The 19475-nt window shown below is 36.2% G+C and overlaps 1 protein-coding gene and 1 non-coding gene across 8 annotated transcripts in view; both read right to left on the reverse strand.

Annotated features, from left to right (window-relative positions):
* The window catches only part of CTNNA3 (catenin alpha 3), a 1851072-nt gene that overhangs the window by 1490671 nt on the left and 340926 nt on the right, over window positions 1-19475 (reverse strand). The gene's annotated exons all lie outside the window — the stretch shown is intronic.
* Window positions 158-217, reverse strand: MIR7151 (microRNA 7151). The gene has a single exon (NR_106973.1). It is a non-coding gene; the product is annotated as a microRNA 7151 (primary transcript).

A 19475-nucleotide genomic window follows, 5' to 3' on the forward strand; every position in this document is an offset into this window, starting at 1 on the left:
CTACTTCTTTAAGTGGGACCCCAATCCATTCCACCCCACTGGGCAGGACTTCCCAATAGGGACCTCCAGCCACCCCTGCCCATATTCTAGGAAAGAACTCTGATCTCTCCCTTGGCTGGAGTGCCCAGTGGGGAGGGATGAGCTGCCAATGTTGCTTTGAGCCCATTCCAGCCTGTAGGCTTTGCAGAATCCAAGCCAATACAGGCAGAGATGGATCCCCAGCAACGCATGGCTGTTTTGTCAAGGTGTGGCCAGACTGCTTCTTTAAATAGAACCCCAATCCATTCCTCCTTGCTGGGCAGGTCCTCCCAACCAGTGCTTCCAACCACCCTCACCCATGTTCTATGGCTGACAAAGTTCTAATTTCTCCCTGTGATGGAGTGCCCAGGGGGCCAGGTGGGCTGCCACCTGTGCTGTTTGGGCATCTCACCCAGTCCAACCTGTGGGCCTTGGAAAGTGCAAAACTATATGGGGGTGAAGGGAAGCCAAACACAGCACAGCTGCTCTACAAAAACGCAGGAAGGCTGCTTCTTTAAGGAGGTCCCTGATCCCATTCCTCCTGACTAGGTGAGACCTCCAAAACAGGGTTTCCAGCCACATCCTATGGGTGCATTCAGGCTGGCAACAGGTCAGTACTTCTCTGGGACAGAGCTCTGAGAGGAAGGGGCAGGCTGCCATCTTTGCTGTTTTGCAGCCTTCACCGGTAATACCTACAGGTACTGAAAAAACTGAGGTGACTAGGGTCTGAAGCAGCCGCCCAGCAAATCATAGCAGCCCTACAGAAAAGTGGTCAGACTGTTCAAAGAAAAAACGAGCAAAACAACAAGAACAACAACAACAAAAACCCATCCAAAGGTCAACAACCTCAAAGATCAAAGGTAGATAAGCCAACAAAGATGAGAAAGAATCAGCACAAAAACACAGAAAACTCAAAAATCCAGTGTGCTCCCTTTCCTCTAAATGACCACAACACCTCTCCAGCAGGGATTTAGAACTGGACTGAGGCTGAGATGGCTGAGATGATAGAAATAGGATTCCAAATGTGGATCTAAAAAATGAACTTCACTGAGCTAAAGGAGCACTTTGCAACTCAATGCAAGGAAGCTAAGAATCATGATAAAACAATGCAGGAGCTGACAGCCAAAATAGCCAGTATAGAGAGGAATATAACCAACCTGATAGAGCTGAAAAAAACACAACAAGAACTTCACGATGCAATCACAAGTATTAATAGCAGAATAGGCCAAGCAGAAGAAAGAATCTCAGAGCTTGAAGAATGTCATTCTGAAATAACACAGGCAGACAAAAATAGAGAAAAACAATGAAAAGGAATAAACAAAACCTCCAAGAAATATGGGATTATGTAAAGAGACTGAATCTATGACTGATTGGGGTACCTGAAAAAGATGAGGAGAATGGGACCATTTTGGATAACATAATTCAGGATATCATCCAGGAGAACTTCCCTGACCTACCTACAGAAGCCAACATTCAAATTCAGAAAATGCAGAGAACCCCAGTAAGATACTTACTCCACAAGAAGATCGTCCCCAAAACATGTAATCATCAGATCCTCCAAGGTCAAAATGAAATAAAAAATGTCAAAGGCCACTGGAAAGAAAGGCGAGGCCACCTACAAAGGGAAGCCCATTGGACTAACAGTGGACCTCTCAGCAGAAACCATGCAAGCCAGAAGAGATTGGGGGACAATATTCAACATTTTTAAAGAAAAGAAATTCCAATGCAGAATTACATATCTAGCCAAACTAAGCTTCATAAGAGAAGAAATAAGATCCTTTTCAGACAAGCAAATTCTGAGGGAATTTGTTACCACCAGACCTGCTTTATAAAAGCTCCTGAAGGAAGCACTAAATATAAAAAGGGAAAACTGTTGCCAGCCTCTACAAAAATACACTGAAGTATACAGACCAGTGACATTATAAAGCAACTACATAAACAAGTCTGCAAAATAACCAGCTAGCATCATGATCACAGGATCAAATCCATACATAACAGTATTAACCTTAAATGCTCCAATTAAAAGACACAGAGTAAAAAGCTGGATAAAGAACCAAGACCCACTGGTAAGCTGTCTTCAAGAGACCCATCTCACACGCAAAAACATACACAGGCTAAAAATAAAGGGATGGAGGAAAATTTACCAACCAAATAGAAAACAGAAAAAAGCAGGGATTGCAATCCTAGCATCTAACAAAAAAAGACTTTAAACCAAAAAATATCAAAAAAGACAAAGAAGAGTATTACATAATGATAAAGGGTTCAATTCAACAAGAATAGCTAACTGTCCTAAATATATGTGCACCCAAAACAGGAACACCCAGATTCATAAAGCAAGTTCTTAGAGACCTTCAAAGAGACTTAGACTCCCACACAATAATAGTGGGAGACTTTAAAACCCCATTGACAATATTTTCTAATATCTCTATCATCAAGACAGAAAATTAACAAAAATATTCAGGACCTGAACTCAACTCTGGATCAAGTGGAACTGACAGATATCTATAGAACTCTACACCCCAGAACAACAGAATATACATTCTTCTCATTGCCACACATCACTTACTCTAAAATTGGTCACATAATCAGAAGTAAAACACTCCTCAGCAAATGTAAAAGAACTGAAATCATAATGAACAATCTCTCAGACCACAGTGCAATCAAATTAGAAATCAAGATTAAGAAATGCATTCAAACCCACATAATATGGTTTGGCTGTGCTCCCACCAAAATCTCCTCTTGAATTGTACTTCCCAAAATCTCCACCTCTCATGGGAGGAACCTGGTGGGAAGTAATCAGAACATGGGGGCAGTTTCCTCCATGCTGTTCTCATAATAGTGAGTGAGTTCTCAGGAGAGCTGATGGTTTTATAAGAATCTGACATTTCCCCTGCTGGTACTTCTCTCTCCTGCCACCTTGTGAAAAAGAACATGCTTGCTTCCCCTTCTGCCATGACTATAAGTTTCCTGAGGCCTCCCCAGCCATGTGGAACTGTGAGTCAATTAAACCTCTTTTCTCTACAAATTACCCAGCCTGGGGTATTTCATCATAGCAGCATGAAAACAAATTAATACCCCACAAAATTACATGGAAATTGAATAACCTGTTCCTGAACAACTGTTGGATAAATAATAAAATTAAGGCAGAAATCTTGAAATTAATGAGAACAAAAATACAACATACCAAAATCTCTGGAACCCAGTTAATGCAGTGTTAAGAGGGAAACTTACAGCACTAAATTCCCACATCAAAATGTTAAAAAGATCTGAAATTAACAACCTAACATCACAACTAAAAGAACTAGGAAACCAAGAGTGAACAAATAACAAAGCTAGCTGAAGACAATAAATAACCAAAAGCAGAGCTAAACTAAAGGAGATAGAAACATGAAAAACCTTTCAAAAGATCAAAAATCCAGAAGCTAATTTTCTGAAAAAAAGTTAATAAAATAGACTGCTAACTAGACTAATAAAAAAGAAAAGAGAGAAAATTCAAATAAACACAATCAGAAATGACATGGAGGATATTACCACTGACCCACAGAAATAAAAACGACCATGAGAGAATGTTATGAACACCTCTATGCACACAAATTGAAAATCTAGAAGAAATGGACAAATCCCTGGACACATACACCCTCCCAAGACTGAACCAGAAAGAAACTGAGTCCCTGAACAGATCAACAACAAGCTCTGAAATCAAATCAGTAATGAATAGCCTATCAACCAAAAAAAGCCCATAACCAGATGGATTCACCGCTTAACTCTACCAGAGGTACAAAGAAGAGCTGGTACCATTCCTATTGAAACTATTCCAAACAATTGAAAAGCAGGGACTCCCCCATAACCCATTCTATGAGGCCAGCATCATCCTGATACTAACACCTGGCAGAGATATAACAAAAAAGAAAACTTCGGGCCAATATCCTTGATAAACATTGATACCAAAAATCCTCAACAAAATACTGGCAAACTGAATCTAGCAGCACATCAAAAAGCTTATCTACCATGATTAAGTAGTCTTCATCCCTGGAATGCAAGTTTCGTTCAACACACACAGATCTATAAATGTGATTTATCACATAAACAGAACTAAAAACAAAAAACACATGATTATCTCAACAGATGCAGGAAAGGCCTTTGGTAAAAATTAGCATCCTTTCATGTAAAAAGCTCTCAATAAACTCGGTTTTGAAGGAACATACCTCTAAATAATAAGAGCCATATATGAGAAACCCACAGCCAATATACTGAATGGGCAAAAGCTGGAAGCATTCCCCTTAAAAACTGGCACAAGACAAGGATGCCCTCTCTTACCACTCCTAGTCAACATAGTATTGGAAGTTCTGACCAGGGAAATCAGGCAAGAAAAAGAAATAATGTGTATTCAAATAGGAAAGGAAGAAGTCAAACTCTCTTCGTTTGCAGGTGACATAATTGCGTATCTAGAAAACCCCACTGACTCACCCCAAAAGCTTCTTAAGGTGATAAGCAACTTCAGCAAAGTCTTAGGATACAAAAATCAATGTGCGAAAATCACTACCATTCCTGTGGAACAACAGCAGGCAAGTAGAGAGCCAAATCATAAATGAACTCCCATTCACAATTGCCACAATGAGAATAAAGTACCTAGGAATACAGCTAACAGGGAAGTGAAGGACCTCTTTGAGAAGAACTACAAACCACTGCTCAAAGAAATCAGAGATGACACAAACAAATGGGAAATCATTCAACAACAGGCAAGTAGAGAAACAAATCATAAATGAACTCCCATTCACAGTTGCCACAATGAGAATAAAATACCTAGGAATAGAGCTAACACGGAAGTGAAGGACCTCTTCAAGGAGAACTACAAACCACTGTTCAAAGAAATCAGAGATGACACAAACAAATGGAAAATCATTCCATGCTAATGAATAGGAAGAATCAATGTTTTGAAAATGGCCATACTGTCCAAAGTAATTTATAGATTCAATGCTATTCCCATCAAGCTACCATTAACATTCTTTACAGAAATAGAATAAAATATTTTAAAATCAATACGGAACCAAAATAGAACTCGTATAGCCAATCCTAAGCAAAAAGAACAAAGCTAGAGGTACCACATTCCCTGACTTCAAACTCTACTACAGGGCTACAGTAACCCAAACAGCACAGTACTGGTACACGAACAGACACATAGACCAATGGAACAGAATACAGAACCCAGAAATAAGACTGCACACCTACAACCATCTGATATTCAACAAACCTGACAAAAATGAGGAATGGGGAAAGGATTCCCTATTTAATAAATGGTTCTGGGAGAACTGGCTAGCCCTATGTAGAAAATTAAAACTGGACCCCTTCCTTACACTATATATAAAAATCAACTCAAGATGAATTAAAGACTTAAATGTAAAACCCAAAATTATAAAAACCCTAGAAGAAAACCTAGGCAGTACTATTCAGGACATAGGCACAGGCAAAGATTTCATGATGAAGATGCCAAAAACAACTGCAACAAAAGCAAAAATTGACAAATGAGATCTAATTAAACTAAAGAGCTTCTGCACAGCAAAAGAAACTATCATCAAGTGAACAGATAACCTACAGAGTGGGAGAAAATTTTTGGAAACTATGTATCTGACAAAGGTCTAATATCCAGCATTTAAAAGGAACTTAAATTTACAAAAAAAAAAAAAAAAAAGCCATTATAAAGTAGGCAAAGGACTGAACAGACACTTCTCAAAAGAAGACATACATGCATGTGGCCAACAAACATGTGAAAAAAAGCTCAACATCACTGATCAGTAGAGAAATGCAAATCAAAACCACAATGAAATACCATCTCATGCCAATCATAATGGCAACTATTAAAAAGTCCAGAAACAACAGATGCTGGCAAGGTTGCAGAGAAATAGGAACACTTTTACACTGTTGGTGGGAGTGTAAGTTAGTTTAACCATTGTGGAAGACAGTGTGGTGATTCCTCAGAGATCTAGAGGCAGAACTACCATTTGACCCAGCAATCCCATTACTGGTTATATACCCAAAGGATTATAAATCATGCTACTATAAAGACGCATGCACACGTATGTTTATTGCGGCACTATTCATAATAGCAAAGACATGGAATTAACCCAAATGCCCATCAATGATAGACTGGATAAAGAAAATATAGTACACATACACTATGGAATACTATGCAGCCATAAAAAGGAACAAGATCGTGTCCTTTGCAGGAACATGGATGGAGTTGGAAGCTGTTATCCTCAGCAAACTAATGCAGGAACAGAAAACGAAACACCATATGCTCTCACTTATAAGTGGGAGGTGAATGATGAGAACACATGAACACATTGAGGGGAATAACACACACTGGAGGCTGTTAGGGGTGGAGGTGGGGTAGGGGGAGGGAAAGCATCAGGAAGAATAGCTAAGGGATTCTGGGCTTAATACCTAAGTGTTGGGTTGATTGTGCAGCAAACTATCAAGGCAAATGTTTACCTATGTAACAAACCTGCAAATCTTGCACATGTACTCTGGAACTTAAAATAAAAGTTGAAGGACAAATATTTTTTAAAAAGAAATGCAAATCAAAGCCACAATGAGATACCATCTCACACCAGTCAGAATGGCTACTGTTAAAAAGTCAAAAAATAACAGATGCTGGAGAGGTCGTGGAGAAAGAGGAACACTTACACACTGTTGGTGAAGAGTGGAAATTAGTTCAACCATTGTGGAAGACAGTGTGGCAATTCCTCAAAGACCTAAAGACAAAAATACCACTGGACCCAGCAATCCCATTACTGAGTATATACCCAAAGGAATACAAATCATTCTGTAATAAGACTCATGCACACATATGTTTACTGCAGCACTATTCACAATAGAAAAGATATAGAATCAACATAAATGCCCATCAAAGATAGACTGGATTAAAAAATGTGGCTCATATACACAATGGAATACTATGCAGCCATAAAAAGGAATGAGATCATGTCACTTGCAGGGACATGGATAGAGTTGGAGGCCATTATCCTTAGCAAACCAACACAGGAACTGAAAACCAAACACCAAGTTTTCACTTACAAGTGGGAGCTAAATGATAATAACACATAGACACATGGGGGGAACAACACACACTGGGTCCTGTCAAAGGGCAAGGGGTGAGAGGAGGGAGAGGATGAGGAAGAATAGCTAGTGGATGCTGGGCTTAATACCTGGGTGGTGGAATGATCTGTGGAGCAAACCACCATGGCACACATTTACCTATGTAATAAATCTGCACAACCTGTACATGTACCCCTGAACTTAAAATAAAAGTTGGAAATATAAAAAATAGTGTTGGCAAGAGTACAGAGAAAAGGGAACTCTTCCACACTATTGGTCAGAATGTAAATTAGTACAGCCTTATGGATGATGCTTCCCCCCACCCAAAAAAAAAAAAAAACCCACAGAAATAAAGCTACCATATGATCCAGCAATCCCAATATGTAATAAAGTATGTCCCACTACTAGGTATATACCCAAAGTAAATGAATCAGTATTTCAAAGAGATTTCTGCTCCCCTATGTTCACTGCAGCCAAGACACAAAATCAACCTAAGTGTCCATCCACAGATGAGTAGATAAAGAAAATGTGTTATATATACACAGGGGGAACCTGTTCAGCCTTAAAAACAAAGGAAAGCTTTTGATTTGCCACAACATTGATGAGTCTGGAGAACATTATGTTACATAAAATTAGCCAAGCACAGAAAGACAAATACTGCATGATCAAACTTGTGTGTGGAATCCAGAAAAGTCAAACTCATAGAAGCAGAGTAAAAATAGTGGTTAACAGAGGCTGGGAGTGAGGAGATGGGTTACCCAGAAAAATGCTGGTGAAAGGATACAAAATTTCAGTTAGACATGAAGAATAAGTTCGAGAAATGTACAACATGAGGACCACAGTTAATGGCAATGAGTTGTGTACCTTAAATTTCCAAAGACAGCAGATTTTAAGTGTTCTCATTACAAAAAAATGAAAAGTATATGAGGTCATGTGTATGCTAATTAGCTTGATATAATCATTCCACAATGTCTACATATTTCAAAACATCATGTTGTATGCCATAAATATATACAATTTTTGTCAAGTAAAAATTTTTAAAGGCCGAATTTACTCAAAGGTTAATTTAATATGACCAAAACTGAGTGGTTCAAGGGATTTGCTTATAGGCATTTCTAGGTCATTGACTCAATTCCTTTTTATGGTCATAGTTTTCAGTAACTTGGCTCTGTGTAGCAGCCCATTCCAAATGAGGATCTGTACCCTGTTATATTTCTGTTTTGTCCACAACTGAGAAGAATATTCATTGGATTGTGTATCTGAGTTAGGGGAAAGTCTAGTGCTTCTAGAAAACTCCATGACAACTGTAGATCAATGCACAGTTTTCTGCCTTGAAACTTGAAATTTCAATTGTAAGACAATATTAAATAGAATAAAAAATGATACTCTGGCAAATATAACAGAGTTTTCCTTTTTTGTGGGAGTGTCAGATTTTGAGTTTTACAGGAGAACTAGGCCTTCTAATTCTGATTTGACTTTCCAACTAACATCAAACTTAGAGCTCCATATCTGAGGGATAACTGGACTGGTGATTGTGCAAAATATTTCTGTCTTGCATTTAAAGTTGTAACGAATTGATAGAAATCAATCTTACCAGCACTGGCTGTCATTTAATTCTTATTCTTAACTTTGGTGATAAAAAAAAATAAATCTGTTGAATCTGTGCAAAGAAGCCTTTCTGAGACCAAAATGGCAGCTAAAATTATTTCTGTAATTAATTTCTGCCTTGTGTGTCAATGTTCTTTAGAATATAAATGATTTTGTAAATACTTGGCAGCAATTTGTTTAATTTGGAAGGGCACAAAGTACACTCCATTGAGTTGGCAAATGCAACATCCTTCTAAATATTTTTCCTAAAACATCAAGTATATTATATGTATTTAAATTTATATTACAACACTTTTCTGAGAAAGTGTAATTTTTAATTATGACCTAAGTCTGACTACATGCATGTCTTTGCCTTCTTGTTTCATGCATTCATTAGCAATTTGAATAGAATTTTAATAAAATTCAACAAAAAGAAAAATGAACAAAACATCTGAGAAATATGGGATTATGACCAAATATATGATTCATCAGCATTCCTAAGAAATAAGGAGAGAGAATAAGCAACTTGTAAAATACATTTGAGGACACAGGCATGAAAACTTCTCTAGTGTCACTACAGACATTGACATGCAAATCCAAGAAATACAGAGAATTTCAGCCAGATACTATACAAGATGACCCTACCCGAGGCACATAGTCATCAGAATCACCAAGATCAATGCAAAAGAAGAAATCTAAAAGGCAGCTAGAGAGAAAGTGCAGGTCACCTACAGAGGGAATCCCACCAGGCTAGAAGCAGATTTCTCAGAAAAAACCTTACAAGCCAGAAGAGATTAGGGGCCTATTTTCAGTGTCCTTAAAGAAAGGAAATTCCAACCAAAAATTTTTATATCCTACCAAACTAAGCTTCATAACTGAAGGAGAAATAAGAGGCTTCTCTGACAAGCAAATGCTGAGGGAATACGTTTAAACTAGAGTAGCCTTACAAGAGGTCCTTAAGGGAGTTCTAAACATGAATTCAAAAGAATGACACCTGCCACCACAAATGCACACTTAAGCACATAGCTCACAGGCACTATAAAGCAACTACACAAGAACCAGCTAACAATACAATGATAGAATCAAAATCACATATATCAATAATAACCTTGAATGTAAATGGGCTAAACAGCCCACTCAAAAGACACAGAGTGGCAGGCTGGATAAAAAGACAAGACCCAACCAATCTGTTGTTTTCAAGAGACCCATCTTACATGTAATGACACCCACAAACTCAACGTAAAAGTATGCGGTAAGATCTACCATGCAAACAGAAAACAAAAAAGAGCAGGTGTCACCATTCCTCATCATTCATTCATTCTTCATCATTCAATTTTCATTCTTCATCTTTCATCATTCATTCTTCATGTTTCATCATTCATTCTTCATTCATTCATCATTCATTCATTCATCAGATAAAACAGATTTTAAACACATAAAAATGAAGGACAATGAAGGGCACTGCATAACAATAAAGGATACAGTCCGACAAGAAGCCTTAACTATACTAAATATATACACACCCAACTTTGGAGCACTGAGATTTATACAACAACTTCTTCTTGGCCTAGGAAAACACTTAAACAACCACACAATAATAGTGGGAGACTTCAACACCCTACTGACAACATTAGATCATCAAAGCACAAAACTAACAAAGAAACTCTGGACTTCAACTCAACACTTGACCAAATGGGCCTATAAAGCACTCCATCCAACAACCACAGAATATGCATTCTTCTCATCTGCACACAGAACATATTCAAAGATCAACCACATGCTCAGTCATAAAGCAGGCCTCAATAAATTCAGAAAGAAATTGAAACTATACCAAGTATACTCTCAAACCACAGTGTAATAAAACTAGACATCAATACCAAAATGATCTCTCAAAATTACACAAATAAATGGAAAGTAAGCAACTTATTCCTGAATAACTCCTGGGTGAACATAGAAATTAAGGCAGAAATTTAAAAAATTATTTGAAGTTAATGAAAATAGGAACACAACTTACCAAAATCTCTGAGATATAGCCAAAGCAGTGTTAAGAGGAAAATTAATAGTCCTAAATGCCTTCATCAAGAAGTTAGAAAGGTCTCAAATTAACAAACTAACTTTGCACCTACAGGAACAAGAAAGAAAGAGAACAAACCAACTCCAAAGCTAGCAAAAGAAAAGAAATAACTAAAATTAAAGAAGATCTTAATGAAATTGAGATGCAATAAACCATACAAAAGACCAATGAAACCAAGAATTGGTTCTTTGAAAAACTAAGACTGGTAGAATCCCTAACTAAATCAACAAAGAAAAAGAAAGAGACTATCCAAATAAGCAAAATCAGAAACAACACTAATGATATTACAACTGATCCCACAGAAATACAAAAGAACCTCAGAGACTACTATGAACAACTCTAGGCACACAAATTAGAAAATCTAAAGGAAATGGATAAATTCCTGGAAGCATACAATCTCCAAAGATGGAATCATGAAGAAATTGAAACTCTGAATAGACCAATTTTAACTTCTGAAATTGAATCAATAATAAAGAACCTACCAAGCAAAAAAAGCCCTGGACCAAGTGAATTCACACCCCAATTCTACCAGACATACAAACAAGAACTGATACTAATCCTACTGAAGCTATTCCAAAAAACTGAGGAGCAGGGGCTCCTCCCTAACTTATTCTATAAGACAAGCATCAGCCTGATACCAAAATCAGGCAGAGATACAACAACAACAACAAACTTCAGACTAATATCCCTCATAAACACAGATGCAAAAATCCTCAACAAATATTAGCAAATTGAATCTAGCAGCACATCAAAAAGTTAATACACCACAATCAAGTAGGCTTTATTCTTGGGATTCAATACTGAAATCACATTTGTTGTGATTTGTGATTTGCTGTGTTGCAAGATTGCAAATACTTGCATATGTTGCAAATCATATTTGCGTTTGTTGCACATGTTGCAAATCAACAAACATGATTCACCACACAAACAGAATCAAGAGCAAAAACTATAGGATCATCTCAATAGATGCAGAGAAACCTTTTGATAAAATTCAACATTCCTTCATTATAAAAATCCTCAATAAACAAAGGAACATACCTCAAAATAATAAAAGCCATCCAGGCAAACCCACAGCCAACATCAGACTGAATGGGCAAATGATGGAAATATTTCCCTTGAGAACTAGAACAAGACAAGGCTGCCTACTCTCACCACTTCTCTTCAACATAGTACTGGAAGTCCTTGCCAGATCAACCAGGCAAGAGAAAGAAATAAAAGGAATTTGAAAAAGAAAAGAAGAAGTCAAACTCTTTTCACTGACGATATGATTTTGTACCTAGAAAACCCTAAAGACTGCTAAAAGGTTCCAAGAATTAATAAGCAACTTTAGCAAAGTTTCAGGATAAAATCAATGTACAAAAATCAGTATCATTTCTATACACCAGCAACATCCAGGCTGAGAGTAAAATCTAGAACACAATTCCACTTACAATAGCCACAAATAAAATGAAGTATCTAGGAATACAGCTAACCAGGAGGTGAAAGATCTCTATAAGGAGAACAACAAAACATTGGTGAAAGAAATCAGTGATAATGCAAATAAATGGACAAACATTCCATACTCATGAATTGAAAGAATCAATATTGTTAAAATGACCATACTGCCTAAAGCAATTTACAGTTACTGCTATTCCTGTCAAACTACTAATGTCACTGTTTACAGAATTAGAAAACACTATTTTAAAATTCATATAGAACGACAAAAGAGTGTGAATAGCCAAAACAATACTAAGCAAAAGGAAAAAAGACAGAGACATTACACTACCCAACATGAAACTGTACTACAAGGATATGGTAATCAAAACAGCATGGTATTGGTACAAAAATAGAAACATAGACCAATTGAACAGGTTAGAGAACCCAGAAATAAAGCCACACACCTACAACTATCTGATATTTAACAAGGCTGACAAAAATAAGCAATGGGGAAAGGACTCCCTATTCAATAAATGGTGCTGGGATAACTGGCTAGCCATATGCAGAAGACTGAAGCTGGGCCCATACTTTTTACCATATACAAGAATGAACTCAAAATGGATTAAACATTTAAATGTAAATCCTCAAACTATAAAAATCCTAGAAGAAAACCCAGGAAATAGTCTTCTCAACATTGGCCTTGGCAAAGAATTTATGGCTAAGTCCCCAAATGCAACTGCAATAAAAACAAAAATATAGTGAGAACTAATTAAACTAAAGAGCTTCTGCATGGCAAAAAAAACTATGAACAGAGCAAAGAGACAACCTATAGAATGATACAAGATATTTGCAAACAAGGCATCCAACAAAGCCTAATATCCAGAATCTATGGTAAAAAATAAATAACAAGCAGAAAATAACCCCATTAAAAAGTGGACAAATGACCAGGCGTGGTGGCTCACGCCTGTAATCCCAGCACCTTTGGGAGGCCGAGGAGGGTGGTTCACGAGGTCAGGAGATCGAGACCATCCTGGCTAACACAGTGAAACCCTGTCTCTACTAAAAATACAAAAAATTAGCCGGGCGTGGTGGCGGGCGCCTGTAGTCCCAGCTACTTGGGAGACTGAGGCAGGAGAATGGCGTGAACCCGGGGGGCGGAGCTTGCAGTGAGCCGAGATCGCGCCACTGCACTCCAGCCTGGGCGACAGAGAGAGACTCTGTCTCAAAAAAAAAAAAAAAAAAAAAAAACAAGTGGACAAAGGACATGAACAGACACTTCTCAAAAGAAGATAAGTGGCCAGTAAACATATGAAAAAATACTCCACATCACTATCAGAGAAATGCAAGTCAAAACCACAATGAAATTCTACCTCACACCAGTCAGGATGGCTATTATTAAAGAGCCAAAAAAACAACAGATGCAGAGGCTGCAGAGAAAAGGAAATGCTTATACTCTGCTGGTGGGAATGTAATTAGTACGGCCACTGTGGAAAGCAGTCGGGAGATTTCTCAAATAATTTAAAACATAGCTACCATTAGACCCAGCAATCCCACTACTGGGTATATATGCAAAAGAAAATAAATCATTCTACCAAAAAGACACATGTACTTGTACATTCATCACTGTGCTAGTCACAATAGCAAAGACATAGAATCAACCCAGGTGCCCATCAATGGTAGATTGGATAAAGAAAAAATAGTACATATACACCATGGAATACTGTGTAGCCATAAAAAAAAATGAAAATGTGACTTTTGCAGCAACATGGATGGAGCCCTTGGAGGTCATAATCCTAAGCAAATTAATGGAGGAACATATAACCAAATACCACGTTTGCACTTATAAGTGGGAGCTAAGCCTTGTGCACACATGGACATCAGTATGGGAAAAATAGACATTGTGGACTCCAAGAGGGTGGAAGGCAGGGGATATTGGGTTAAAAATCTACCTACCAGGTACTAGGCTCACTACAACAGTGGACGGGATCTATACCCCAAACCTCGGCATCATGCAATATTCCCATGTAACAAATCTGCACATGTACCCCCTGTATCTACAAGTTGAAATTAAATAATAACAATAATAAAAAGTAAAAGTGCCTGGGGTGGGGGAAGGTATTATCAAGGTGTAAGTTTTCAGAGTGGATCTACCCTAAAAGTCCTTATAGAAAGCCGGTTTATTTTATTCAATAAAACAAAAGAAAGGAAATAACTCTAAGACAAAAGATAGGGTTGTCACATGTTGTAAATATAATCTTCATTCATATACAAATCCAATTAAATTTAAATCCAATTTAAATTGGTTTAAATCCAATTTAAATTGGATTAAATCCAGTTTGGATTGGGTTAAATCCAATTTCGAACCCATCCACTGTATAAATATGAGGAAAATATGTTAAATTTTTTATATTTATATCTCTCCATTTAAATTCTTACATATTGTGAATAAAATCAAATTTTATTGACATATTGGCGAAGCATAATTCAATATTAAAGCATATGTCCACACAAAACTTTTACACAATGTTCATAGCAACATTTTTCATAAGAGCCCAAAAGTGGAAACAACCCAAATGTCCATCAACTGGTAAATGGATAAGCAGCATGGAGCAGAATATCCATACAAAGAAGTATTACTTGGCAATAAGAAAGAATGAAGTACTGATACATGCTACAACATGGATAAACCTTAGAAGAATTATGCCCTCACATTCTCCACCATAGTGCAACCTTTGTTCATCAAAGAAAAATGAAATAACGTCTTTTATTCCTTTATTATTTTGGAAAGCAAGAGAAAGTTATTAACAGTAACATGACAATAAATATCATATGGAAAAGTTTCAAACTGACCAATTCACCTTGCACATTGTTCATTCAAATGTAAATTAGTGCAACTATTATAAGAAATAGTATGAAGTTTTCTCAAAATCGTAAAAATAGAACTACAATATGATCCAGAAATCCCATTTCTGGGTACATATAACTTTTTGTCAAAGAGATCTGCATTCTGATGTTTATTGTGGCCTTATTCACAACAGCCAAGATAAGAAATCAACCTGTATCTATCAACACATAAATAAATGGATAAAGAAACAGGGGTATACACACACAATTGAATACTATTTCACTGTAAAAAAAAAAAAAGACAATATTGTCATTTGCAACAACATGGGTGAACTTCAAGCATATTATGTTAAGTGATATGTCAGGCACAGTAAGAGAAATACCACATGATCTGACATATGTAGAATCTAAAAAAAGTTGAACTCACACAAGTAGAGAGTAGAATGCTAGTTACCAGGGTCAGGGGCATTATTGGTTAAAGAATAGAAAATTTCAATTAGATGGAAGGAATAAGTTCAAGAAATCTATTGTAAAACATGTAGTAGAAAATCCGTGCAAGGAAGTATTACAACAGAATAACAACGTATTGTATTTTTGGAAGTTGTTAAGAGAATAAATCGTAAGTGTTCTCACCACAAAAAAAATGATAAATATATGAGGTAATGAATATATTGATTAGCTCAATTGAACTATTTCACAATGTGTACATATTTTAAAATATCATTCACATGATAAATATACATAATGTTTATTTGTCAATTAAAATAAATTTTGTTTACAAAAGAAAAAACAGTATGCATATTTATATTTTTCAGGATTCTTGTTACATTGACTTTGTTTCCAATAGTAATTGTGAGGTTCTTCATGAACTGTGCCCATGGGCTCCAGTGATTGGTAAATTATTCCACCTCTACCATGGTGACTGAATTAAACAAGATCCTCAGGTGGTTCATGTGTACATTAAAATCTGAGAAACACTTAAAAAACAAAAAATGGAACAATGAAGACATTTAATAAAATAAATCTTAAACAAATTATATAATTAGATAGGACAATACAATAACATGCATTATCCTTGTCTTAAAACCAAAAGGATATTTTTTCTTCCAATTTTCTTATTTTTAAATTTATTTTTAATTTCAACTTTTATTTTAGATACAGGGGGTTCATGTGCAGATTTGTTATGTGGGAATATTGCATGATGTTGAGGTTTGGAGCATGGACCTCGTCACCCTGGTAGTGAGCATAGTGCCTGATAGGTAGCTTTTTAACCCACCCAGCCCACTTCACCCTCTAGTAATCTATACAGTGTTGATTGTTTTTTTCCAATTTTCTACATATGCCTCTAGAGTAATTCTGTCATCAATTACAAATAAATTAAAGCGCTTTCTCATATCTCTGAAGGATGTAAATGAATATTAGCAAAACAGTTGGTCTTCAGAAATTTAGAAACTAATGTAATTTGAATCTTTCCCTTGCCAGGGAACATACATGCCAATCTAGATACTCAAGAGCTATGATTAAAATTTATTCTTTTGTAAAAACACCAGTACAGTAGCTATATTCACATAATCCCTTTTCTTAAATTAGTCACATATCTGATGCACTAGTGTTCTTCCAGAGTTAAACAGGATTTTTTTTTTTTTGACAGTCTCGCTCTGTCGCCCAGGCTGGAGTGCAGTGGCACGATCTTGGCTCACTGCAACCTCCACCTCCCAAGTTCAAGGGATTCTCCCACTTCAGCCACCTGAGTAGCTGGGACTATAGGTGCCCACCACCATGCCCAGCTAATTTTTGTATTTTTAATAGAGACGGGGTTTCACCATATTGGCAGGCTGGTCTCGAACTCCTGACTTTGTGATCCGCCTGCCTCAGCCTCCCAAAGTGCTAAACAGGACATTTTAAAAGCCAACATCAGCTAATAAGCTAACAGCATTTTATTTTTACTAATGAAAAAAACATTTAAATCTATCTGTGTAGTTTTTTATTTCAATCCTCTAAAACAAAATCAAGAACTAACAAATGGTTAAGTGAATTATGCATGATAGTATGATTTTTTATTATAATTAAAATGCTCTTTTTCAATATTTCTAAATTATAAATAATTTTAACATATAGTACAAAAACTTTGCAGCAATAAGTCAGCATAACTGGTAACTGAATAAAGACAATTTATTATGATCCTGGACTCACAAGACAGATTCTCTGGGTTCAAATCCCAGCTCTGCCTTTTCCAGCTGCATGACATTGGAGAGTACTTTAACCTCTCTGAACCACATCTGAAACTAGGAAGAATATTAGTACCTACATCAGAGGGATTTTAGGAGGGTTCAATGGGCTAATACATGTAACACACTTACGGTGTTTCCTGGCACATAATCAGTACTACATGAGTTAGCTCACATTATTATATTTATTTTATTTATTTTCTCAGAGCACAGAGTATTATCTTTATTTTCCTTATTACTATTATCCTTTCTTATTTTATTGTTATTATCTTCAGTTATATTTCATGAGCAAAGTAGTATTATCTTTATTTATTTTCTTAGAGCACAAAGTATTGTTATACGATATTAAACCAAATTGTAAAATAGTTGTTTCTTATTATTGATATTAATACGTATAAAGTTCAGGGGTTAATGAGTCTCAGTTGAAGTAAAGAGTGTCTTTTATCAAACTTAATAGTTTTGTTGTTGTTGTTCTAAAGAAAATAATTCAAATTTACTTATAATAAAATAATGAGTATGCCACAGACACAAGGTACATGTTAAAGGCCTCTTCTTTATAATGAAATAACATCACCTTCATCTTATCATTTTAGAACATCATCAGACATCTCCACTTCACTAAAGTCTAGGGAACAGGAAAGGAAGAAGTTGAATTCTCCTCATTTATCTGAATCAAAAGACATCAATAAAATCTATGGAGCATGCCTCCTAGATTGACAAAGACATGGTCTTTCACTAAAACCAAAGTGAAAGAACTAAAGAATTTGAAATATGTCTGCTACTTTGCAGGTTGCAGGATGTGAGAAATGTCTGTATAAAATAGAAAATATCCATCATGGATTCAGCTGTGGAGATTTTCCTTATGATTATAATTCCATGGATAACTCACAAAGTTAATTTCTTACTACAACCCAGTATTTCAGGGTGTTTTTGTTGTTATTTTTTGTTTTTGTTTTGTAGACCAAACTGCATCTGCTCTAACATCCTCATAGATTGTATGTACAAGTAAACATGTCTCAGGTAGAATAACACATCAGCTTCAGAAGACTACCCACAAGGGCACCTTTCCCATTGTCACATGGGGACCATGAACACCTCTCTACACATCATGGGCTTTGGGTTTTTAGGTACATTAAGCACTCAATTTACACAACCCTTCTTTGGGTTTCTTGAACAATAAATCTGAATAATGATTTCTTCTTAGATTTCTTACAAATTTTAATAAATTATGTTTTTTCATCACGAAATGAAAGAAGCTAATCAGATTAATAAGACTTTTCTGATACAGATATTTTCTTCTACTCTTTCTGAATTCTCCAGAATGACTGATAAGGTATTCTGCATGTTATATAAACTTAAAAAAAATACTGATATAAACAAACAAATGGACTAGTATTGGTGGCATTAGAATAAACTCATTGTTTTGAAAATATATACATAGAAATATAGATGTATGTATATGTATGTGTGTATAATATCACTAATATTGGGACAACCAACATCATGCTCACACTGAGGACACAATATCGCTTTGTGCTATTGTTATCAAAAATGCATAGTCTGAATTTAATCATGAAAACATCAGACAAACTAAAAACACAAACACAAGACAAACTGAGAAAATCTTCCACATTAAATGAAACTAAGGGAAAAAAATTCAGTACAATGCATGACCCTGGAATGGATCCTGGACTGTGAAAAATAAATAGACATAATCTGGGGACAACTGACAAAATTTGAATATGTGTGGACTCTAAACTAGATAATATTATATCAATGTTAAATTTCCTGATTTTGATAACTGTATTGAGATTATTCAACACAGTGTCCTTGTTCTTAGAAAATATACAATAACGTATGTAAGGGTAAAGGGGCAGGGTGTCTCCAACTTACTCTCAAAAAGTCCAGAAGGAAGAGAGAGAGAATGAGAAAGGAAATGATATACATTGTAAACAATTAATGAATCTGAGTAAAATGTGTATGGGTAAACAAGAGCTTCTTGTACTATTTCTCCAACTTTTTTGTAATTTTAAGTTAAACTGAAATGAAGTTACCCCAGATATAGCTTAGATTTGTCTCCCCACTCAAATCTCATGTCAAATTAGAGGAGGGGCCTGGTGGGAGGTGATTGGATCATGGGGGTGGATTTCCCCCTTGCTGTTCTCATGATAGTGAGTGAGTTCTCACTAGAACTGATGGCTAAACATGTGGGC

Source organism: Homo sapiens, chromosome 10 (genome assembly GCF_000001405.40).
Source record: "Homo sapiens chromosome 10, GRCh38.p14 Primary Assembly".
Taxonomy (NCBI): Eukaryota; Metazoa; Chordata; class Mammalia; order Primates; family Hominidae; genus Homo; species Homo sapiens.